The sequence below is a fragment of the Homo sapiens genome, chromosome 1 (genome assembly GCF_000001405.40).
Source record: "Homo sapiens chromosome 1, GRCh38.p14 Primary Assembly".
NCBI classification, from domain to species: Eukaryota; Metazoa; Chordata; class Mammalia; order Primates; family Hominidae; genus Homo; species Homo sapiens.
In genome coordinates, this window is record NC_000001.11 from 162,068,271 (window position 1) to 162,093,689 (window position 25,419).

General features: G+C 43.5%; 1 protein-coding gene across 2 annotated transcripts in view, besides 5 other annotated features; it reads left to right on the top strand.

Annotated features, from left to right (window-relative positions):
• Positions 1,175 to 1,474: a silencer, noted in NCBI's record as "silent region_1490". NCBI's record gives its function as "represses an Ori minimal core promoter by ATAC-STARR-seq in GM12878 lymphoblastoid cells {active_cell/tissue: GM12878}" and the evidence as "EXISTENCE:reporter gene assay evidence [ECO:0000049][PMID:35858748]".
• NOS1AP (nitric oxide synthase 1 adaptor protein) overlaps positions 1,421 to 25,419 on the top strand; it is a 300,785-nt gene continuing 276,786 nt past the window's right edge. For both annotated transcript variants that reach the window (NM_014697.3, NM_001164757.2), the window contains exon 1: positions 1,421 to 2,012. In NM_014697.3, coding sequence (NP_055512.1) covers positions 1,908 to 2,012 — 105 coding nt within the window. In that variant the 5' untranslated portion in view covers positions 1,421 to 1,907. The remainder of the gene's footprint in view (positions 2,013 to 25,419) is intronic.
• Positions 1,505 to 1,684: a silencer, noted in NCBI's record as "silent region_1491". NCBI's record gives its function as "represses an Ori minimal core promoter by ATAC-STARR-seq in GM12878 lymphoblastoid cells {active_cell/tissue: GM12878}" and the evidence as "EXISTENCE:reporter gene assay evidence [ECO:0000049][PMID:35858748]".
• Positions 1,695 to 1,754: a silencer, noted in NCBI's record as "silent region_1492". NCBI's record gives its function as "represses an Ori minimal core promoter by ATAC-STARR-seq in GM12878 lymphoblastoid cells {active_cell/tissue: GM12878}" and the evidence as "EXISTENCE:reporter gene assay evidence [ECO:0000049][PMID:35858748]".
• Positions 23,123 to 23,718: an enhancer, noted in NCBI's record as "OCT4-NANOG-H3K27ac hESC enhancer chr1:162061183-162061778 (GRCh37/hg19 assembly coordinates)". NCBI's record gives its function as "activates a minimal SCP1, AML or CMV promoter by ChIP-STARR-seq in primed H9 embryonic stem cells {active_cell/tissue: H9 hESC(primed)}" and the evidence as "EXISTENCE:reporter gene assay evidence [ECO:0000049][PMID:30033119]".
• Positions 23,719 to 24,313: an enhancer, noted in NCBI's record as "OCT4-NANOG-H3K27ac hESC enhancer chr1:162061779-162062373 (GRCh37/hg19 assembly coordinates)". NCBI's record gives its function as "activates a minimal SCP1, AML or CMV promoter by ChIP-STARR-seq in naive and primed H9 embryonic stem cells {active_cell/tissue: H9 hESC(naive and primed)}" and the evidence as "EXISTENCE:reporter gene assay evidence [ECO:0000049][PMID:30033119]".

Consider the following 25,419-nt stretch of genomic DNA (forward strand, 5'->3'; position numbering starts at 1 on the left):
TAATAAAATCTGTACAGCATAATGTATGTGATTAATTTGTCCATATCATCAGTTTGCTTTTATTTAAGGAGATATCCCAGAAGTTGCTACATCTTGACCAGTAATTTCAGCAGTTAGAGAATAGGCAATATCTAGTTAAGGGCAATTGTACTTTAGCACTATGGGACAAAATGAGAAATGCAATCACGGCAATAATGTATTCTCTTGTAGAAATCTGTCATGGAAATGGTATAAGAAGACATGCCTTTTACAAGCAGTTTCGTTGTTACGCTTTATGGTAATTCCAAGCCTGGCCTATACAACAAACAATCAATAATGTTTGGTCTGCAAGTCGCCTTGGGTAGATATGTCCACAGGGCACTAAAAGTAGGTTTAAGGTGATGAATTCAACAGAGAATCTGACCCTTTGGTCTAAGGAATCTCAGATTTGACTGGCTTTGACACTGGCTTGACTGGTTACTTTCCGAGATTTTGGAGTTAGCCATGTATATAACAGCTGTCCTGCAGCTCTACCTATGGTGTTTTCACAGATACTGAATACTTGGTCACGAACTCCTCCTATAGCTCCTTTATTTGCATATCTTGCACCGTTCAGAAACTGAACACATAGGACACAACCCTTCCATTACCCGATATCTGCCAAGATGGAGATAATTAGGCAACTTTTCTCCAAAACTGTTGATGTAAAGGAGAAAAGTGACTAGGCCCCTTCTTAGCAATAGGCAAATTGAGCTCCAGCATTTACTAAGATGGGAACCATAATACGCTGGCCGGAAATAACTCGGAAGCTCATTTTGTCCATACCCAGTTGTAGACAGTCAAGAATATAAAAATGTTCTGGATTCTCTTGTCCTTAGTACTCCTTTCTGCCTTCCCCATTTCTACAAGGCTGATGGCTTTTAAATGTTAAAACCCTCCCTAAAGGCACCCCATAAGCCCTATTACACAAGTCACATACGAACAAAAAGCGCCTAAGATAGTCCTCCATTTGGGCGCAGTCTTGCCTTCTGAGAAAGGGGACTCTGAGAATTAATGAGGGCCCAGATCTGGGATATCTGGGACAAGACTTGGGCCTTCCTGGTAAAACACGAAAACAAAACAATAAACACGGCCCCTCCCCCCTCTCCAAAAACAAAAACAAAAACTTCAAGGCCATGCCGCCGCGGCCATCAGTAGCTCCGGCTCAGAATTTGACCGTTAAAAAAAGGAAACTAGGCTGAGCTAGGGCACCTCAGATCCCGGCAGTCTGGGGCCGGGGCGAAGTTGCCGGCGTCGCGCGGCCGGGGGCGCGGGCAGGGCCGGGCGCGACTCTCCCGGGGACTTTCACCTGCTCGGCTGGCAGCGCGGGCAGCGCGGGGGCGGACCCGGCGGCGGGCGGGGCCTCTGAGCCCGGCGGGAGGAGCCGGCCTGGGCCCGCCCCACAGGAGGAGCCGCTCGCTGGCGGCTGATCCAGCGTCTCCGTGACAGGCACCCTGCTCCGCCGCCACCGCCACCGCCACCGCCACCGTCGCCTTTTCTTCTTCGTCCCGGGCGGTGCGTTCCACTGCTCTGGGGCCGGCGCCGCGCCCAGTCCCGCTTCGGGCCGCAAGCCCCACCGCTCCCCTCCCCGGGCAGGGGCGCCGCGCAGCCCGCTCCCGCCGCCACCTCCTCCCCTGCCGCCCTCCTAGCCGGCAGGAATTGCGCGACCACAGCGCCGCTCGCGTCGCCCGCATCAGCTCAGCCCGCTGCCGCTCGGCCCTCGGCACCGCTCCGGGTCCGGCCGCCGCGCGGCCAGGGCTCCCCCTGCCCAGCGCTCCCAGGCCCCGCCACGCGTCGCCGCGCCCAGCTCCAGTCTCCCCTCCCCGGGGTCTCGCCAGCCCCTTCCTGCAGCCGCCGCCTCCGAAGGAGCGGGTCCGCCGCGGGTAACCATGCCTAGCAAAACCAAGTACAACCTTGTGGACGATGGGCACGACCTGCGGATCCCCTTGCACAACGAGGACGCCTTCCAGCACGGCATCTGCTTTGAGGCCAAGGTGAGGGGGCTCCGGGGAGGGTGCTACCTGTGGTGGCGGTTGGGGGGGCATGTTTGAGCGGATGGGATGCACAGCCGTCCTGGACCCAGAGCTGGCGGGCTAGGCCGATTTGGGGGCCTTTCTCTTAGGGAGGGTAACTCTCCCTTCTGAGTCTATAATTCCGCGGGCTCCTGCCCAGAACTGCTCAAGAGCAACTGCAAAGTTTGAGCGGTATTGCCTCACCTCCCCCTTCCCACCTGCAGACTCCCCCATCCTTACCCGCCTAGGACTGGATTGAGTTACTTCCCGGATCCCTCCTCCAGAGGAGAAGCCGGCAAGTGAGCTCAGCCTGGGCACCTGGTCGTTTAGAATCGGTTTAAGGAAGCTCTGGTGTTATTTACCTGCTGGGCTCCCAGGGAGAGGTGCTTTCAGGAAGGTCTTTTAAAAGAGGAATGCCTGCTTCCTAATTGAAGAAAAGAATCCAGATTTTTTTTTTTTAAACTCCAGGTAACCGGGTCTAGGTGTCAGAGTCACTTCCTAAATGGCTAATTTGCCAGACTCCTCTGCATGTGCCAGTCACTGAAGGGAGTGGTGAAAGCTACCCATTTGCTAGTTTTGTGGCTTAATGTTAAGTTTCAGCATCTAGTAGGGAACTGTTGCTGAAGAATTTAGCAGAGATGACTGGAATTTCAGCGCTGAGGTCGGAGCCCCAGGTCCACCGTTGGGGGAGGGGTGGAGCAGAAGCCTCGGCCCTGGACCATCAGGTGTGAGCAAGGCTGACTCCCTGTGATGCACCTCCCTGAGTGAGGAGTTCTGGCTTCTGAAACTGCAGTGGCGGTTCCCACTGCCCATCAGCAGGAAAGAGTGCTTTTTCTGTGGAACAGTGTTCTGCTCTTCCTTCAAGCCACTTGACCTCCTCTGTGACGTAGAGAGACCCAGGGACTTTCGGCACCTACAGTGTGCCTGTAGGTGGAAAAGTATTGTCCCTCTAAGTAGGCTGGGTCTTGCTGGTTTTGAAAACGTTGTACTTTGGATGTGGCGACAGTTTGACTCTTTGTTCTCTTTCTCTTTCTTGATGGTGTACGTGCAGGCTGTTAGCATCTCACGAAAGGATTATTCCATCAGGTGTCTTCTTCCTTCAATTCACACATTTTTCGAGTATCTGACATGTGCCCAGTGTGGTCAGTTTCTTTAGATTTTTTTCTTTCTCATGTATATGGGTGAATTGGTGAAGCTCACCTTTTTTTCCCCCTGAATAACCTTATCCCAGCCATATTTGCTGGAGCTAGGAGAACTGCCCCGCTTAGTCCCCCGAAACATTAAACCCTGCCGTGGAATGCAGAGCTGAATTACTGGGTATGGCTGGGACAGAGTGGGGCTGCAGCCAAGATCTTATCTTAGTTCTCTCATCTCTCAGAATAGACCTGGTCGGTGGGTCTAAGATGGGATGCTTGGGTTAATTTTTGCCCAGGCCTGTTGATTTGGTGAGCAGAGGTTTTTATTTTAAAGTATGAGTTTTCATCAGGGTCATGATTTAATTTTCTTGGACATACATAAACTGGGAAATTGGCTTGTGTTTTGTTTGGTTCAGCAGTACCCTATTTTACAAGTAAGAGGGTAAGAAGGGAGATAAGATTTAAAGTGTTTTTAAGGCTAAGCATGGTGGCTATTGCCTGTAATTCCAGCACTTTGGGAGGCCAAAGTGGGAGGATCGCCTGAGCCCAGGAGTTAGAGACTGCAGTGAGTTATGATTGCACCACTGCACTCCACCCTGGGTGACAGAATGAGACCCTGTCTCAGATAGATAGATAGATAGATAGATAGATAGATAGATAGATAGATAGATAGATAGAAAGTGTATTTTAAGCCTTTTTATTTTATCACAGTTCAGTCCTCTGCATTTGGTCCCTAAAACCTAGTGTGCATAAGAATAATCAGGTGAGGGGGTTAACAAGTTTGAGTCTTGCCACACCCCAATTTTAATTTGATACATCTTGGGGGAGCCCAGGACTATGTACCTTTAACGAGCATTCCAGTTGATTTAATGCAGGTGATTGTGGCCAGACTTTGAGAAATATTGGGCTTGAGGGTTGCCTCCAATTTGCTGGATCTTACTCTCCCTTTCCCAAATGTACTGTTTCTTTTCTAAGCAAATGTCTGGGGGCTGTGTGATGTAGTTCCTATAGTAACTTCCCTGGATTCACAGGCAGTGGTGGTCAGTGAAAGGAGAGGGAGCCGCAGTTGGTTCAAGCTGTTTTCCCAATGCAAATGAGAAATAGGGGACCAAGGATCCTTCTTTGAGAGAGGTGAGGCAGAGAAGAAAGGACAAAAGCATACGGTAAGGGGAGTGGTGGAACTTCTTTGGGCAAAGGCTGACTTTGAGGACCAGGTCCTAACTCCCAGATCTTTGTAATTGATGCTGCACCCTGGCACATTCAAACACCATGTTAGTCAAGACCTAAGCAGAGGTGGAAGCACGAGCTTTTCTGTCCTACATGCTCCTGGTAAGAGCCTTCTCTGGCTGTTTTCCACATCCCTGCAGAGCAGTGTCTATGCAACTGCACAATCACTGGGATTTCAGGGTTAAATCCACATCGCAGTCTTCCCTTGTTTTGGAAAAATGCAGGCTGGAAAATGCAAATGTATTATTGTTGCCTTGTCGGGTACCCTTGGAAAATGAGTGCAGCTCTTTCTCTCCCAAGGGCTGGCAGTTTTTCAGAATCAACATTGGATTGAGTGTTCCTTTGGAAGTATGCCACTCATTTTCAGGGTTCTGCAGAGATTGAAAGGTGTGGGGTTAGGATCGAAGGGCATCTGGGTGGCAGAGGTTCTGTGCACTTAAAAACCCATGCATTTAGTTATCAAGTGCAATCCCAGATTTTTTTCACCTGCAGTACCTCATTTAATTCTCACTACTTCCCTAGGAGATGGGTCTCCTTATGTCTATTTTATAAACGAGGACATAGGCTCAGGGAGGTTGTTGCGTGCCTTAGTGCTCACAGTTGTGTATGACAAAGCCAAGATTTAAGCCTGGGGCTTTGACTTCAGACTCCCAAATCCAGTGCCTTTTCATTCAATAATTTTTATGGAATATTCACTCTATGTTGGCCACGGGTTTGAGTCACAGCTCTCTAGTGGAGTGTTCTCAGGTTGCTGGCCTCTAGAACTCTGGTACAGGAAATTATTCAAACATTTATTTATTTATTTATTTATTTTGAGATGGAGTTTTGCTCTTGTTGCCCAGGCTGGAGTGCAATGGCATGATCTCAGCTCATCACAACCTCCAACTCCCAGGTTCGAGTGATTCTCCTGCCTCAGCCTCCTGGGTAGCTGGGATAACAGGCATGCGCCACCATGCCCAGCTAATTTTGTATTTTTTGTAGAGATGGGGCTTTCTCCGTTTTGGTCAGGCTGGCCTCGAACTCCCGACTTCAGGTGATCTGCCTGCCCCAGCCTCCCAAATGTTGGGATTACAGGCGTGAACCACTGCGCCCGGCTCAAACTTTTAATGCTTGGCTGTTTCCAGATTTCCCTTTGGGCTGAGAGCTGCTTGCCAGGGAAACCTGTTGTCTGTGTTCAGAGTGGGTACCTGGCTTACTGACTGATGCTGGTGGGTGGGTAAATCTCACATGCCCTGAGAGCCTGTGGCTCCTTAGTAACTGCCTCCTGATCTCCCAGTATGTCTTCCTGGTGGCCAGTGCCATCAACTGACTGTCTCTCCTCTCTTGGTGAGAAAGAGACTTTTAATGCTATGGGTACAAAGGATAATAAGAGTATTAATAATAGTTATATCTTATATCTGTAGGTGATTTTTGATTTGCATTGGACTTCTACATACAAAGACTTTTCCTCTTATAGAGACAGGCACAGGCACATTAGTGTTATCTCGATTTTTCAGACCAAAAAATGGAGATCAGAGAGATTAATTTGTCCAGAGTTGCAAATTGGTGTATCAGTTAATGATATTTATTGAGCACTTACTATGTGCCATACATTATTCTAGCCTCTGCCTCACTTAATCCTCACACTCCAGGGCTTTTGACTCCAGGTCCATGGTTCTTTCACCTCCTCCAAGGCTCACTCAAACCTGAAGTATTAATAGTTGCTCCCTTTGTAGTCCTAACACTCATTGCCTAGATTGTTCCCTTATATCTGCGTGTATGATACAGATGGTCAGAACTGGAAAGCACCATGGCTCATCTAGTACAACCCCCTCACCCCATCATTGTACAGATGAGGAAATTGAAGTTTGGAGGGGAAGTCATGGACCCAAGGTCACATAGTCAGATAATAACAGAACCAGGACTTATCCCTGGTTCCCTGGCTTCAAACTGGTTTCAGTTATCCATCACTTCAAAACAAACGACCTCAAGACTCAGTAGCTTGAAACAATAACTGTTTAATTTGCTTATGAATCATGGCTCAGGAATTCAGGCAGGGCTTGGCTGGGCTGTTCTTCTGTTGCTTATGGCGTTGACTGGATCACTCACTTTGCTGCATTCATCCACAGCTAGGCTGGAATGTTCAAGAAGGCTTCACTCATATGACTGTGCCTTGGTCGTCCTTCATGTGACTATTCTCTTCACTGGCTGGCTTGGATTTCCTCACAGCATGGTGGCCCTTTTGTTTGGCAGCTGGTTTTCAGTAGGGGGTGTTCCAAGCAGGAAAGCAGAAGCTCTTAAGGTTGGGTCTTTCTGAGTTACATAGGGTCACTTCTGCCACATCCTGTTGGTCAAAACAGGCTATTAGGGAAGAGACATAAGCCCTACTTCTTGATGGGGGAATGTCAAGTTCACATTGCAAGATTGCACGTGGGATGAGAGATATTGCTGAAGCTGTTTACCACACAAAATTCTGTTTTTTCCTCTCTGCATATATCTTCTCTGGTGATATGGAATGTTCTTTGAGGACCTTGCCTCATGCCTTGGTGTATCTCCCCCTCCCAAGCCTCAACATCAGGTACAAACATAGTCACAATGAAAAATTGTCAAGTGGAAGAAATGACCAATTGTGGAAAGTCTGAAAGCAGTAAATATCATTGCTGAGTGATTTTGTGGCTTGGGAGCATGTGGTCAGATTGAAGCTGAATTCTCTGGCTATATTTCCTTCCTTGCTACCTGGCTTCATTGGTTGATGGTTTCCCTGATGTGGATTTTAGAGATTCCAGTAACCTCAGCAGGATATCTGTGGATGCCTCTTAAACATACGGCCATGAAGGCCTCCAGATGAATGACATTTGGTCACCGTAAATGGGGTATCCCTGACTCGTCTGAGCCTGCATGGCATGGTACAGAGCTCTCAGAACCATTCCACTATACACTGGGTGTTTATGTCCCCTTTCTCCCTTCTCTCCACCCAGACTAAGGGTCCTGTCTTCCAGGGTTCTGGAACAGTAGCAATTCAGATTAAGGGTCTGATGTATTTTCTGATGTCATCATTAAGGAGGAGACGTAGTTCACTTTCTTATGCTTTTCCAGATGCTTTTAAAAACACTTATCTTCTGCCCAGACTACTTTTTTTTTTGGTGGGGGGCAGTGAGTTCCAAAGATACAGTACTGCTCTGAAATGACACCTATTTTATTTGTCCTTACATTGCTCTCAGATGTCCCAGTATGTTCCTCCACACCTGGTATCTTGGGATTTGATGGACAAATCTATTTCCACGTTAGCTGTACATTTCATGATTTTATGGCTTTCAGTCGTAGTTCCTTTGCCCACAATGTCCCAGTCCTTTTTAGTGGTCAAAATCATGCAGCCACATCTAATGATGACCTTTGCCAGTTATCTATACTAATCAGGCTTGACTCACTGTTTACTATTGCCTACTCATAATGCAGCTACTCCCAAGACTCAAACTTTCAGAATGCTTTCGCTGGCTATAATTACCTGCCTTCCCTTTATACCTTTGTTGCCTTGAGGATGCTCTTAGCTCCTCAGTGACCTTTTTGCTGCCCTTGTCCTGCTGTCTACCCTCCCCAGCAGCCTGGGACCATGCCCATGGCCGTTCCTTCCTGCCTTTTTGCCCTACCCTGCAAACTTGATCTTTGCTACTTTTCTTCTTCCTTTCTGTTTTTGGAAAAGACCATTTATATATTTTCTTTGGAGAATGTCTATTCTGATCCTTTGCTCATTTAAAAGTTGGATTGGCTTTTTACTATTGAGTTCCCTCCTTTCTAATAGTTTTATTGAGATGTAGTTCACATACCATACAATTCACTAATTTAAAATGTATAATTTAGTGATTTTTAAGATATTACAGATCTGTACTACCAGCACCACAGTCAATTTTAGAACATTTTCATCACATTAAAAAGAAACACTAGGCTGGGCGCGGTGGCTCACTGCTGTAATCCCAGCATTTTGGGAGGCCAAGGCGGGTGGATCACTTGAGGTCAGGAGTTCAAGACTAGCCTGGCCATCATGGTGAAACCCCATCTCTACTAAAAATACAAAATTAGCTGGGCATGATGGCACACACCTGTAATCCTTACCCCCTGCGTCTTCCCAGACCTGAACAGCCACTAATCTACTTGCTGTCTCTAGATTTGCCTATTCGGGACATTTCATATTTATGGAATTATACAATATGTGGTCTTTTGTGTCTGACTTCTTTGCCTTAGTGTTGTGTTTCAGGGTTCATCTATAATTTATCAGTACTTAATTCCTTTATATGGCTGGATAATATATCATTGTATGGATATACCACATTTGGTTTGTTCATTCATCAGCTGAGGCACATTTAGGTTGTTTCCATTTTTGCCTCTTAAAAATAATGCTATAAACATTCATGTACAAGTTTTTGTGCAGGCATGTTTTTATTTTTATTTTTTAAAATTTATCTTGGGTAAAAGTAAAATGGCTGGGTCCCATGGTAACCATGTGTGACCATTTGTGGGACTTCCAATGTGGCTGCATCGTTTTACCTTTCCACCAGCAGTGTGTTCATATCTTCACCAATGCTTGTTGTCTGACTTTTTGATTCTAGCCATCCTCCTGGGTGTGAAGTGGGATTTCATCATAGTTTTGATTTGCATTTCCCTTTTGAACAACATAGAATGTCTCCTCATTCCCTAGGAAGCAGACTCAGAGAAAAAAAAAAAGACCATCTTTTCATGTGTTTTTTGGCCATTTATATATTTTCTTTGGAGAAATGTCTATTCTGATCCTTTGCCCATTTAAAAGTTGGATTGGCTTTTTTACTATTGAGTTGTAAGAGTTCTTTATATATTCTGGATTCAAATCCCTTATATAGATTTGCAATATTTTTACCCATTCTGTGGTCTTTTCACTTTCTTGGTATTGTCCTTTGAAACACAAAGTTTTAAATTTTGGTGAAGTCCAATTTTTTTTCTTTTTCCCTCATTTTGAGATCCATCTGCCTTCCATGTCCTGTTAGTCTGCCCTTGTCCTCTTAATTATGCCCTTCACTCCCCACCCCCACCCTGGCACAGTTACATCTCCTGGGCACTGGCTTACTCCTCCCTGCCTAAGAGTATGCTATGGCCTTCCCTGTATGAAATACCTCTTCTTTCCACCTCTTTCTTTAATTAACATGTTGTCTTTCTCCTCCTTTCACAGCTAAGCCTTGTGAGAGAGTACTCCACCCTCTGCAGTATCTCAGTCTTCATTCAGTCCCTGGCCACTTCCTTCCAACTTCTGTCCTGGCTGCTGTACTGAAATTGCTCTGCTGCCCCCTTCTCTATCCTCATCCTTTTTGACTTTTCTTCCTGAGCTGCCTGTCCTAGTCCTCTGTGGAATGCCTCATTGGGCTCTCTGTGCCTGCTTGCAGTCAGCCAGCCCCTTGCCCCTGCCCATACCTCCTTCTTTTGTGGCTGTTCTACCTCCTCCCTTTGCCCTCTACTGTGAGTGCTCCATTCCCTCTCCTTTGGATTCTATCTACTCCCACTCTTCTGTTATGCAGGCTGCTGGCTCTCTACTTCAGTCCAGACTCCACATCTTTATGCGCAGCTTCCTGCTGGTCATCTGTACCTGAATGTGTTGCTGTCCCTATCACTCAACAAGCTGGAAATCAAATTTCTCTTCTGACTTCATTGTCTTTTAACGACCCCACCATCCTCTTGGGCACATGGGCCTGACACTTTAAAGTACCCCTTGTATTCTTTGATTTAACAGCCAACTCAAATTTGCTGTTTACTGGGTACCTATGATGTCCAGGCTCTACTCTCCTGTACCCCACATCAAGTTAGGTGCCAAATCCTCTTGAATGTTCCCAGTGACATCCATCCACCCACCCTGGCTGGTCCATCACCCGTTCAGATGCTCCACCCCCTCCCCTGTTATCAGGGCCATCAATAACCTTCTGAAGGCCTCCAGTGTCCCACTTGTTCTCTGATCCCCCTCATCCCTTAAACTTTTGCCCTATCAATTTTCTTGAAATGGTTATCCTCCCACTCAAAAACATGAAAAGTTTCTGTACCTACTATATTAGAACCAAAATTCTTAGTATGATATTCAAGGCTGTTTTTGAACAATTCCCTTTAATCACCCTGGGCTTCAACCCAACTGTAGTACCCACCATTCCCTTAACCCTCACTGCAGTTTCCCACCCCGTTCACAAGTCACTCTGTGAAGTGGATGTTACCAGTCCCACCTGCTTTGTATTAGAGCTGCTTGTCCTGTCCAATTTTCATCCCTACATTGTCATTGTCAGGGTCCATGTCACTCTGCCCCCGTGTCTTCCACAGCCCTGAGTACAGTGCCTTGCACATAGAAAATGTATTTTGAATGAAAGAGATGATCCCTATAAGATGGCCAGGACCCTCCTGGGTCACCCAATGGTGAGAGGTGCCTTAATTGACTCTCCACTCCTCCCCACCATTTCTCTTGCTTTAGTCTAGTAACTTCCGGTTCCCAGTGGCTTGAGGGACCCCCCAGCATGGCCTCTTTCTGATACCCCCAATCTCACACAGTGCTGATTCCTTCCAATGAAAATACCAAGTAAGCATTTTTTTTTCCTGAATTAAATAAAATTCCACTGATGGATGTCCAGTGGAATTAGAATCTGAATATAGAACATATGGCCAATTTCAGGAGTAGGTAATTGTCATTTCTCAATTGTCATTTATGTAAGAAACATTTTCAACTTGTTTTCTCATTAATGAATTGATGTCTTTTTTTTTTCCTAATTCATGGTTTATTTTCTGTAATTTGCTACTTTGCAATTTTTATGACATGAATTTGGTTGGTAGCATAGCATGGCATGAATTCAGGAGCCAAACTGTGTTTGGGTTCAAATCCTGGCTCTATCCCTCACTTGCTACTTGACTTTGTGTGAGTTATGTAACATCTTTCCTTTAGCGTTCTCATTTGTAAAAAGAGGATACAAATATCTCATACTTCGTAGGGTTAATGGGAGGATTGAATCAGTAGTACCTGTAAATGGCCTAGCACCGTGCATGACACAGAGTTGGCTGCTGTTTTTATTATTGTTATTAAGTCCTACAAGTTGCAATTTAGTTTCATCTGTGCATGGTTTTAATCTATAGAATATTCAGACACTCTGTTCTTTTATAAGTCAGAGGCCTAGTCATGTATTATCTTCATTATACATGCCTGCTTAAAAAATCTAGCTGCAGCTACTCTGATTCCTAAAGTTGCAAATCAGACAGCATGACTACTTTGTGGGCTTAAAATAGCTGTCAGCCTCTTTGGGAAGGAATAAAAAGGGGTTAACTAGGTTCTGGTGCATGCCACCATCACATTTGTTCCAGCCCTTTAATCCTTGTCAGGATTAAAAATCACAGAATCTTAAGTACGGTATTGTCTGTCTTGTCTTTCTCTGAATTTCTTGGATAAATATTTCTTTAAGCAGAGGTAATCTAAGCAGAAGGAATCTTCTATCATGGGATTAATTAATACCTTGTGATGCTTACATTTCCCTTTACAATTTTTATATTCAGCATCATGTTTCCTTTTAAGCACTGGAGCAGTTGGCTTTAAAAGTTATTTAAAATGGCACTTCCAGCAAGTTCAGTGCCCAGAGGGTGCTGGAACACTTTAGAATTCCTACTCTGTTAGTTAGAAAACTAACCCCTGTTAGTTTTCTCTAGTGAGGCTTCTGTGTCTTACCCCTTTATGGTCCATCCATGAAAACTGAGGAGAGTGGCTACCCCCATTTATTCTTGAAACGAAGTGCTTTCCAGGGGGAACTTGTTTAAATGAGCAGCGTTGAGTATTGAATAAGACCTGGGAATCCCTACCAAGGGGCCTGCCCTTGGGAGTAAGGGGGTGACCAAGAAGGGAGCACTCCCCTAATCCCACAGCACCCTGTAACATTCTGAATTCCCTTGGCATGTGAGTGTGTTGGGGAGAGAGAAAGGAGACAGGAAGGAGAACATGAGAAGTGCTGTTTGCATGCTTGCAGAATTATCATGCATCCCATGTTCTGTGCTTTTCTTCCCTGCTACTTCTGTGTGTGCATTGCTTGTCTCCTTAATTAGGCTACAAGCACCTCAGAGGTCAAGGGGACTCCCTAACTTACTTGCCTCATGCTAGCCACATCATAGAAAGATAACATTATAATTACTGTCATTTAGAAAGCGCTTACTGTGTTCCAGGCACTGTGCCAAGCTCTTTCTATGAAACGATTAATTTAATTCTCCCAACAACCATGCTAGTTAAGGTATTATCATTATTTGTATCTTATAGATGGAGAAGCCAAGGCATAGAGAGGCAGAGTAACTTGCTCATGGTCTACATCTAGTAGTGGGTAGATCCCAGAGTCAAACACAGGTAGTGTGGCTCAGGGTGTCTCCATTGTTAACTCTTGTGCTGTATGTCATTCAAAATACCAAGAGCTAATGTTTATCAAGTGCTCACTGTGTTCTGTGCATTGTTCTAAGCATTTTACATGTATTAACTAATTTAATCTTTACAGTGGCCCCTATCCCATGGGGATAGGTTTTATTGTTCCAGTTTTTCAGAGGAGGGTCTTTTAGGTTGGATTGAATAGGCAAATGGTCTGTTAAAGGTGACCTTAGTCCTTTCCATTGTGGCTATGTCCGGGACCCAGGTCTGCTGTTCTGTGCCATTGGGCAACGGGTCACCTGTAAAGACTTTTCTGGACCATGTTGATGTTGTCCAGATAAAGAAATGAGGCATCAGTGAGTAGGTGGAAATGCTGGAGAATGGGAAGGAGAGGAGCTCTGGGAGGCCCTTCCTGGAGGGTGTTATTCTTGGCTGGGCTCTTGCCTGTGCATTTCCTGTCCAGTGTGGCATTTCACTCCTTTCAATGCCCATGCCCTTTTCCTTGCCTTTCCCAGCTTTTTTTTTTTTTTCCTTTTGAGATGGGATTTTACTCTGTTGCCCATGCTGGAATACAGTGGCATGATCATGACTCATTGCAGCCTTGACCTCCTGGGGCTCAGGTGATCCTCCCAGCTCAGCCTTTCAAGTAGCTGGGACTACAGGCATGTGCCACCATGCCTGGCTAAGTTTCATATCTATATCTATATATCTATATCTATATCTATAGATATATATATATATATATATTTTTTTTTTGTAGAGATGGGTTTTCACCATGTTGCTCAGACTGGTCTGGAACTCCTAGGCTCAAGTGATCTGCCCACCTCAGCCTCCCAAAGTGCTGGAATTACAGGTGTGAGCCACTGTGCCTGGCCCCACTTCTATTTTTTTCCTTTATTCCATTTTTGAAAAACCTTTTATTTTAAGCTCAGGGGCACATGTGCAGGTTTGTTGCATAGGTAAACTTGAGTCATGGGGGTTTGTTGTACAGATTATTTCATCACTCAGGTATTAAACCTAGGACTCATTCGTTCTTTTTCCTGATCCTCTCCCTCTTCCCAACCTCTACCCTCTGAAAGGCCGCAGTGTGTGGTGTTCCCCTCTATGTGTCCATGTGTTCTCATCATTTAGCTCCCACTTATAAGTGAGAACATGCAGTATTTGTTTTTTTTTTGTTCCTGCATTAGTTTGCTAAGGATAATGGCTTCCAGCTCCATCTATGTCCCTGCAAAGGACATGATCTCGTACTTTTTCATGGCTGCATAGTATTCCATGATGCATATGTACCACATTACCTAGTCTATCTATCATTGATAGGCATGTAGGATGGTTCTGTGTCTTCACTGTTGTGAATAATGCTGCAATGAACATACACATGCATGTGTCTTTATAATAGAATGATTTATATTTCTTTAGGTACATACCCAGTAATGGGATTGCTGGGTCAAATGTATTTCTGTCTTTAGGTCTTTGAGGAATTGCCACACTGTTTTCCACAATGGCTGAACTAATTTATACTCCCACCAACAGTCTATAAGGGTTCCTTTTTCTTTACAACCTTGCCAACATCTGTTATTTTTTGACTTTTTAGTAATACCCCTTTTGACTGGTGTTAGATGGTATCTCATTGTGGTTTTGATTTGCATTTCTGTAATGATCAGTGATGTTGAGCTTTTTTTGCATATGTTTATTGGCCCACCTCTATTTTTGAGGACAAGTTCTCTCCACCCAGAGGCCCCATGGTGCCTCTGGTAGAGTACAAAACGCTGAAAAGGTCATTCCCAGAGATGTTGCCTTTTGGATTGGAAATCTCAGTCCACCACGCACAATGGAAAAGCTCCTTGGTTGTGTCCTTTTTTTCTTTTTTTTTTTTTTTTTTTTTTTTTGAGACGGAGTCTCCCTCTGTCGCCCAGGCTGGAGTGCAGTGGCGGGATCTCGGCTCACTGCAAGCTCCGCCTCCCGGGTTCACGCCATTCTCCTGCCTCAGCCTCCCAAGTAGCTGGGACTACAGGCGCCCGCCACTACGCCCGGCTAATTTTTTGTATTTTTAGTAGAGACGGGGTTTCACCGTTTTAGCCGGGATGGTCTCGATCTCCTGACCTCGTGATCCGCCCGCCTCGGCCTCCCAAAGTGCTGGGATTACAGGCGTGAGCCACCGCGCCCGGCCGTGTCCTTTTTTTCTATCTTGACTGTAAACTCTTTGCTTTTTCTTTTGGTTTCTTTGGGTGGGAAGAAGCACTCGTGTAGAAGCATTTTATTGTTCTGCGGAGAGGAAGATTCATGTCTCCTGTGGGCCAAGTGACAGATAACATATTATCTTGAGTCCATGCTATTTTCCATAAACACACATAGCCTCCACTGTAACTACATTTTCAAATTGGCAATTTTTTTATTTGGAGACAGGGTCTCACTATATTGCCCAGTCTGGTCTCAAACTCCTGGGCTCAAGCAATCCTCCTGCCCTGGCCTCCCAAAGTGCTAGGATTACAGGTGTGAGCCACTGTGCCTGGCCTCAAATTGGCTCTTTAATGTGGCTAGATTTCTTAAATTTGGCAGCCCAGGTTAAACAGACTATATTCTGGGCACCTGTATCCAAAATATGATTGAAATTTTACCTTTCCTCAAAGTCACGTAAATGCATTTTTTTCCTCCAGATAAGCATTTTGCAGCTTCCACAGATGAAGGAAATTACCTGCAAATTCCTTTGATTAATTACAGCAGGTGTTTTCAGTCTTTGGAGTAATCAGAATCACCTGAAAACTAATAAAAATACAGAGGCGCAGGCTTATTGAAGTAGCATAGGGCCTGAGTGTCTTTACCAAGTTTTCCACCATGTGATTCTGATGAACACTTCAGTTTGAGACCCACGGCATTAGAGCACTGGTTCTTAAACTCAGCTGCTCATTGGAATCTCTGTGGAGTTATAAAAACAAAATAATAGCTAAGTACTCCTAGTGATTTTGATTCAGTTATTATGCAGTGCAACCTGGGCATTGTGATTTTTCTATCTTCTGTGTCTTTGCTGAGACTTTTGACTTTTTAATTGGTTTCAAGCATATTCATAATTGCTTGTTGAAGCATTCTTAGGACTGCTTTAAGACCCATGTCAGGTAATTCTAATATTATCTGTCATCTTCGCGTTGGCTTCTGTTGATTGTCTTTTCTCATTCATGTTGAGATTTTCTTGGTTCTTGGAGTGATGAATGATTTTTGATTGAAACCTGGACATTTTGGATATTATGTTATGAGCTTTGGATCTTATTTAGATCTCCTGTTCTAGCAGGAGAGCCTCACTACTCTCAGGTGGTGGTAGAAGTCTAGGTTATCCACTAGGCCTCAGCTGATACCACCCTGGTTGGAAAGGGCAGGGGCAACTCATTACTGATTCCACATGACAACCACTAATGCTGGCCTTAGTACCACTGGGGTGGTGGCAAAAGTTCAAGGTCTCCACTTGGTCTCCTCTGACACCCCAGCAAGGAGGTGGAGGAGGCCTTGTGTTGCCAGGTGAGGTGGATGTTCCAGCTTCCCATTTGGTGTTGCCACTATCAGGAGGGAGGTAAGACTGGAACATCTTATTACAGCCTGATGAAGGAGAAGTCCAGTTTCCCCACTCGGTTGGTGAGATTGGGCCACAGTTTTTTTCTCTTCTCTTTTTCTTCTTTTTTGAGACAGGGTCTCACCCTGTCACCTGTGCTGGAGTGCAGTGGCATGATCATGGCTCACTGATGAAGCCTCAACCTCCCAGGCTCAAGTGATATTCCTGCCTCAGCCTCCCTGGTAGCTGAGACTACAGGTGGCCTGGCTAAATTTTGGATTTTTTGTAGAGTTTTGCCATGTTGCTCAGGCTGGTCTGGAACTCCTGGGCTCAAGTGATCCACCTGCTTCAGACTCCCAAAGTGCTAGATTACAGATGTGAGCCTCTGTACCCAGCCCATAGTGTTTTCTATGGTATTTTTCTGGAGTGGAGCTGTTGCTGTTGAAAAATTTTTATTGTCATACTGTGCTGCCCCTTTCCTGGTCATTTGGTTAGAGAGAACAGGCTTTCTTGGGACCTTTTTTGTTTTGTCAGTGTCTATTGGTGTTTCCAGGTCTCCAGCTTCTCCAGCAACCAGTCTGGGAGATGTGAGGCAAAAAGAAAATGCAGGGAACTTGCTGCTATGCCATCTCTTGGGTGCTGAGGTCCCCAGCTTGTCTGTCTTCTCTCCATCTTTCAGATTCTTCTCCTGCTTGTTTTATGTATAATGTCTGGAGTTTTTAGTTCTATTTCAGAGGAATAGGGGAAGGTATATCTAGTTCATTTTTGTGGAAGTGGGAATTCTCCATATTGGGAGCCTCCCCAGATAATTCTAATCAAATCAAATCAAGCAGGAAAATTTAAGAATCATAGGGTGAAAACATTGGAGCAGGCAAAGGAAGTTTCACTGGGAAGACCAAGAAGAACTGGGGTCCTCCCCAAGTGGTGGTCTTTATGAATCACTGTGTACTCCCTCATAAATTCTTATTTCACTAATATCCACTTTCCTCCCCTGGGTTTGTTGCATTCTCCTTAGATTTCTTTCTTCATATAGCCCTTTCCGAGTCTGACTCCTGTTCCCTGAATTTGCATTCCTAAATGCAGATGTAGAAATGGATCCAGTCTATAGGAAGCATTTATTGTGCATCTACCATATTTGGGACACAGTGCTTAGTGTTGAAGGCCAGAGAGAGATGAGACAAGATGGTGACTTGAAGGATGTCAGCCTCACTGGGAAGATACTGACACGTGGAAAGATAGGCACATTATATTATTAGGTATTAATCACATACTATGTGCTGGGCATTCTGCTTGGTGTTTTATAAACTTTCTGATTTAATTCTTCCAACTGTGCTGCCAGATGGGTGCTATTTTTCCTCTTTTATAGTTGCTGCTACTGAGGGTCTGTCAAATCAAGTGACTTGCCCAAGTTCACTTCATATCCAATTCTGGACAAAAATGAGCTCAAGGCTTTGGTGCTGAAATGAGGTCTTGCTTTTCACATGCAGCCCTGTTCCACTGAGCTTTCTGTAGAGCATACTCATGGGTGCTGCTGCGATGGGGCAGAGCTCATCCATTTTCCTGGACCCAGAACAATTTTTGGAGGCAGCTGTTAGTGGACTAGTCTGTGGCTTTGGAAGGGGTATTTCAGGGGTTTTAAATGATGATTCTTGAGGTTTTAAAACATCCTTAGCAGCTCTATGGAGAGTGGTGGAGGGGGCAATAATAGGCCTGGAGAGAATGTCTAGGAAGCTCATCCTGTACTGCAGGCACGAGGTGGTAGTGGTCGGAGCTAGGGATATTAGACAACAACTTCCTTTGTGTTTCCAGGCTTTTGTTAATATTTATCCACTGTATATCTGTTATTTCTGTCTTCTATACCCTTCCTTGCCCACCCTGAGTAGCTTTCCCTGGCTGGTGAGATCCTTAAAGAAGCACTGTATCTGACTTGCTTTTGAATTTCCAGAGCTTAGCACAGTGCCTGACACCTTATAGGTGTGCCATTGGTCTTGAATGAATGAATCAATGCATGAAGTTGATGACAGTCTGGGTACACTGCTTCACTCTTCACCACATTTACTGGGGTGCCTTGGCCAGGAGTGGGATCTCCAACATGGCTCTTACCCACTGTAGTGATTTTGCTTCCCCTGACCAGCCGAACTGTCATCTGAGTCATGTTGGTTATATTTCACAAAACAATTTTATGTAGAGAATCTGATGTTTAATGACTTTCCCCTCCCAGCCATTCCCTTGACAGGATGGTAAAGAGGTTTATGGTGTGGGTCTCATTTTTCTTTTACTAAAGTTGAACTAGCTTGTGGCCTGAAGCTGGCTTTGTAGTTGTAGGCATAGGATGCATACAACAACTCCACGCTCATCTTGTGAGGGTTAGCTCAGCAAATACTAGTTTCTCACCCTCGTCCAACTGTACCTGTGTGCTTCCTTGTATTGCCACAGCACCATTTGACTTATAGTAGTGTTATTTGTGTACCTAGCATAGGGCCCCAAAAGGTGGTTGAACTTTTGTATTTTCTGCAGCAGACAGAGGGCCTGATATATAGTAGCCACTCAGTAAAGACACACAGGGTTGGATGAATTCAGCAAGAGTTTGGTGTGTTAGAGTGAGGCTGACATCCCTTGAATGCTATGGATGTCCAGTAGCTCGTGACAGTGATGCCCCTTAGTGAGTCTTTATTTCCTCTTTCCAACAGTAGCTTTAAGTTGTTTTCTGTTAAAAATATGTCTGAAGCATACACTTGAGGCTGCTGACTCACCTCTTCTAGGGCAGTCTGAATGCATTGGATGTGCCATGTGGGAGGGAGGCAGCCACCTCCCCATTCTCATTTACACTTTTTTCACTTTACACTAATTTGTCTACTCTTTATTCAGCATGGAAGCTGGGGTCTGAGAGACTGGAATGTGGCCTGGGAGAGTTCAGGACAAGCTGCAATGCCAATCCCATCCTTTGTTGGATCCATGGACTTGAACTAGTCAACTTTCATCTCTTTGTACTTCAGTCCCCCTCATCTGTAAAATAACAGAGCTGATTTAGAACCTAAATCTCAGAGGTGATCTCTGAGGTCTCTTCCAACTCCAGCACTCCATGATTCTATATTTGATTCTTCCCATGTATTCTGCAGACCATCCCCCTTTACCCAGTGAAGTCACATCCCAATTACTTAATGCCCATGTACTGGTTGACAGATCAATTAAAGCAAACAGCCAGAACACAGCCAGACTGCACAGCATTCCACATGCTCCTGGACTGTGTAAAGTGCCCTCTCTCTTTGAGGCGTGGGAGGAGAAAACTTGTGATCTCTGTCTTCCCTTAGTTGTTCATCAATATGTTGTTCAAATGTAACTACACATAAGCAGGATTTATCCATTATTTGTCTTATGTTCTCAAATATTTATACCTTTTGCTGCTCTGTGAAAAAAAATCCTTTAAAGTCTAGTCATTAATTTTACCCTATTGCAGCCAAAAGAGAAGTATTTTGAAAAGCATCAGAACTCTATAGGGTCAAATTCTGCGGAAAGGCAAAGGATAAAAAAGATTTAGTTATGATCTTGGATTTCTGTAGAAATTCAAGCAGGAAGAGGCCTATATGTGCTTGAGAGCCCCAGGGGTTGTCCCAGAAGCCAGGGTCTTGGGCTTAAAAGCCGGCATTGTTGCTGACTGTTTGAGGGCTAACACTTAACCTTGCTGCCTCAGAAACCTAATTTCATGTAACAGTACTTTGCAACCCTGCTGCACCATAGGATCACCTGAGGAACTTATAAAACATGGATACCCACTGCCCCTAGGGATTCTTATTTCATATGTTCAGGCTGGGTTCCTATCATCATTGTAATTTTAAAAGCTCCCAGGTGATTTTGCCATGTGCAGCCATAAGAACTGCTGATGTGTACACAGAATAAGGACATTTGTGAGCAGAACTGGGTTGTTCAGATTATCGAGCCTGATTTATGAGGCCAGAATTTCTTTTTATGGATTGACAATGAGGAACCTAATTGAAAAGAGTTACTGGATATACTTGGGGATACAAAACCAGCACTTATCTCCCTGCAGGTAGGAGGGTGGTGGTGAGGAGGGGGACAGATCTCCATCAGAAGGGTATTTGGGAATGTTTAATGGCAGCAGGCCAAGACGGTTTGAGGTGTGCCCCCAAACAATGGTGATGATTTCCTCTTTGAGGCCAGATTACTCAGTCTGTAGGTCAAAGGCCTCCTCATACTACTAAGCATTTGGCTGGACACTGCTAGCTGTGTGTCCAGACTGTGTGTGTGTGTCCAGGGCTGAGCAGCACCTCCTTCCCCTTCCTGTGGTAACGTCTTTATGAATTATGAATTTATGAATACATACAATCTGGAGACCGATACCTCTTTTGGTATCAGGGATTTTCTCTCCCTCTCGCCATTCTCCTTCCCCTTCATCTCTCTTCCACTCCTTGTGTATTTTGTGTCTCAGACCTGGAATCAATCATTTCTCCAGGAAGACCTGGTATCTTTTAATGCAAAATTGTATTTCAAGACCATTATCTTGGCACCAGGGATGCTAATTTTTATTGAGTTGGCCATTGTCTGTAGGTCTTTTTTGGTGAACAGAGCTGGGAAACTACACATAAGGAAAGAGCAAGGATGAATGTGATAGATGTAAACATACTTGTGTGTTCATACTGATATTTCCAATATCTTAACTACTTCTGTATTTCATCTGATCTTTTGTCCACACTGAGAATTCTGGTTTTCAAATACATAGGGAATAACAGAATCCAATATTCCATAATTACTCACTTGCTTTATCCTACACTACACAATTAGGAATCTCAGAATAGTAGTACAAACACCAGCACCAATTATGATTACTGAAAACAGTCCAAAACCTTTTAAAAAATATGTCATCTGTATCCTTCACCATCTTTTAAAATGGTTATACTGTATTATTGTGATACTCTGAGTAATGGTCCCTCAAAAAGTATTCATGTCTTAATCTCTGGAATCTGTGAACGTTACTTTACATGACAAAGACTTTGTATATGTGATTAAGTTTAGGATCTTGAGATGGTGAGATTATCCTGGATTATCTGGGTGGGCTTTAAATATAGTCACAGTTGTCCTTACAAGAGGGAGGGAGGGGGAGATTACACACAGAAGAGGAAAAGACAGTGTAACCACAGAGGCAGATATTGGAGTGATGTGGCCACAGCCAAGGAAGGCTGGCAGCCTCCAGCAGCTGGAAGAGGCAAGGAATAGTTTCTCCTCTAGAGCCTCTGGAGGCCGTGCAGCCTGCCAACACCTTGATTTAGGCCCAGTGAAACTGACTTCGGACTTCTGTTCACCAGAGTTATAAAAAATAAATTTCTGTTGTCTTAAGCCTGTAGCTTTGTCATAGTTTGTTATAGCAGCCCTAGTTAACTAATACAATCATATAGTCATTACACATTATAATATTTCCTTTTTAACCCTCATTTAGTTTTTAGTTCTTCAATAATTACATATTTAATACTTACTACCAAAACTTACATTCTTGTTTCTAGTCACTTTGATTATCCAAAGTTCTTCTCTAGTATCCTTAGGAAAAGCTTATGGAAACAATATTCCCTGATTTTTTTTTTCTGAATGTTGATAACATTTTATCTATGCTCTTTGTATGCGAAAGGTCAAAACTGCTGAATATTAAATCTGTGGTTGACATTTTTTAAAAAATCTTAAGTGTTATTCCATCTACTTCTGGCATAAAGCTTGTTGTAAATCTGATCTAATTTTTCTTTTCCTTATAATTTGTATACAGTTAAAATTAGATGCTGCCTAAATTATCTTTTGTAAAAAAAAAAAAAGTCTGAGAATTTTACTAGAGTATATGTTGATATTATTCTGAGTCAGTATTCTCAGGTAAACAATATGTTCTTTCAATATCAGGTTTCAAATAGTTTTTTTCCAGGAAAGTTTTCACAGACTACTGTTTTTAGAATTATATTCCTTGCTTTGGTTTTGTTCTTCCGGAACCACTCTTATCCATATGTTGGTTCTTGTTTGCCTATCTTCGATGTTTGTCACTTTCAAATCCCTTTGATCTCTTTCCTATTATTTCTTTTTAATTAAAAAATTTCCCTAAGTTTCAGGCAGTTTTTAGGTTTATTTTTTCTTATATTTCTTCTAGTTTAGTTTTTATCTCTAAAATAGTTTTCTTTTTTTACTTTGCTTTCTTGAGTTTTGTCACTTTATTTCTGAATTTTTCTAATTCTAATTTATGTTGTTCTTTCATGCCTTGCATAATTTAAAGTATTTTTAGCTTATTTAAAAATATGTCTTTTTGGCATGCTTTCACTATCACATATTTCTAAGGATGTTATTTTGTTCCTTATTCTCTCTTTTTTTATAGAAATGTTTATGGATTTGACCTTGTTACTTTTCTGTTGTTAATTTTTATGTAAACTTAGTTTTCCTGAATTTTAAAAAGGAGGGTTGGTTTGGTAGTATTTCTAACTGCACAGAGAAATGGAGATTTAAAAATCTCTTGTTTTCATGGAGATTTAAAAAATGTGGTAGTTCTGTTTCCATCTCTCTCTTTTACCTGAGCCTTCTCTTTTCTTTGTCTCTGTTGCCTGTCCTGCTTCATTTTGATTCTGTTCCCAGCAGTTTCTCTTGGTGTGGAGTCCTGTCCTGGGCAATCAGTTTTGAGAGTTCCTAGTGGCTTGAGTGCTCCAGCCCTTCGAACCTCCTGTGGGTCCCCTGTTGTTCCAGGTTCAGCGGCAGTTCTCCAGTTTACCCTATTGGCTCTTTTGGGTTCAGGTTCATCATATGCCCCATTGCTTCCCTTTGATTGTTCCCACATAGACATCAATATCATACTGGCTATTGGTGATTTGTCTCCGATAACTTGTCACCAAATTTTGTTGAGTGTCATCCATGAGTTTTTAAATTTGCTATTTAGTTGCTCTGTTTATTTTTTGTAGAGACTGTGGAAGACTCAATAAATATATTGCCACCATTTTCCCAGAATTGGGATATTGCTTTTAATTTTCACTACAGTGTGGCAAGTTGCTGACTGAGATTTTAAGTTATTTTTCCCCCATGGAGCAGCAAAACATATAAAGATTTGAGAACATAGGATAAGGAATGAATAAATCCTGCTTATGTGTAATTACATTTGAGCAACATGTTGATGAACAGCTAAGGGAAGACAGAGATCACAAGTTTCCTCCTCCCACTCCTCAAAGAGAGAGGGCACTTTACACAGCCCAGGAGCATGTGGAGTGCTGTGCAGTCTTGCTGTGTTCTGGCTGTTTGCTCTAATTGATCTGTCAACCACTACGTGGGCATTAAGTAATTGGGATGTGACTTCACTGGGGCAAGGTGGGGTGGTCTGCAGAATATACAGGAAGAATCAAATATAGAATCACGGAGTGCTGGAGTTGGAAGGGACCTCAGAGATCACCTCTGAGATTAGGTCCTAAATCAGCTCTGTTATTTTGCAGATGAGGGGGACTGAAGTACAAAGAGATGAAAGTGACTAGTTCAAGGCTGTGGATCCAACAAAGGATGGGATTGGCATTGCAGCTTGTCCTGAACTCTCCCAGGCCACATTCCAGTCTCTCAAACCCCAGCTTCCCTGTTGAGTAATGAGTAAACAGACTATTGTAAAACGAAGAGGACTTTTATAGAGTAAATTGAAGGGTATTCATTCATTCTTTTGTTTTAGGAAGTTCAGTGTTTCAGCTAGTGGATTTTCTTAAGATACAGGCATGCAGAATTTGGTGTTTGTGTGGAATAATTGAGGGAGAGAACAGAGGAGGATTTCATCAGCACTATCACAGCTCTCCTGTGGCAGAATCAAGAGCACAACCAGAAGGCCTGGCTTCGTCAGTCCTGTTGAACTTTTCATGCCACCAAGTGGTAAATCTGGTGATTGTTGACATTTCCAAGAAAAGTGTTTCTCTGAAGGCTCCATGCTATTCACTGAATAAGAGTTTATGACTGACTTAATGAATTGACATTTTATTTATCTCAGTGCTTATTCTCTCTCAGTGGTCTTTTTGTTTCTTTGGGCAAGAAGATAGTAATTCAAATTTGCATACCCTTGCCTGGTACATGATTTATGCTCAATGTATATGCAGTGAATGAATCTGTTTGGAGAAATGGGACTAACATGTGAAAAGATGAACAAACTCACCTACTGTGTGTTGTTGAGTACTAAATTATATGCCACAGATCCTGAGAAGAAGATGCAGTGTGGGGAGGCTTCCTGATGAAATGGTAAGGAGGATTTACTCCTCCTGCATTCACCAGGCCAAGCCCTTATTCTTCTTTAGTACCATAAATGAGGGGATACGAGAAAAATGGCTCCTTTAAGCGGCAAGTGTTTGGCTGCTTCTTTTATTCTCATCTTGTACCTCCTTTACTCCTATCCTCTATTTTCTTTTGCAGTTTATCTAACACTTTAATTACTGTTTTGATCTTCAGATCCTTTGTTTGAGATAGTTTTTATTATTTCCATTTACAGGTAGGGAAGTTAAGTCTTAGTGGCTAAATGTTGTAACATCCCTTAGGTAGTGAAAGGCAGTTCCCAGTAGACCTAGGCCTCTAGAACCCCTGGAATATTGCATGCTGCCTCTCAGTGCTGGTTCTGATAAAAATATCTCCCCTATCTGAGCAGGGGATAAGTAGGAATGTGTTAAAATAAGAAGGGGATTATGAAAGAGAATTTTATTCATGCAATCAGTATTTACTGAGTACTATGGCAAGCCAGGCACTGTGCTAGATGTTAGGGACATAAACTTGAACAAGACAGTGTTGGCTGCAAGGGTCATGTGATGTAGATATGGTGTTGCACAAGCTTGGTATACCCTGTGGACTTTTTAGAATTATTTTGGTAACAGGTGTGAATAGAGTGCTTTTCATATTCAGGCAGTATTTTTGGTGGCGAGGACATTAGGTAGGTATGTGTTAGATATTTTGTCTCTCTCTCAGGCTACATACAGTTTAGTGGAAGAGATACTATGGCGCTTTATTTTATTTTATTTTTTTTTGCCGCTATCTCACTTTGTTGCCCAGGCTGGAGTGGTGTGGCATGATCATGGCTCACTGCAGCTTTGAACTCCTGGGCTCAAGTGATCTTCTTGCCTCAGCCTCCTGAATAGCTGG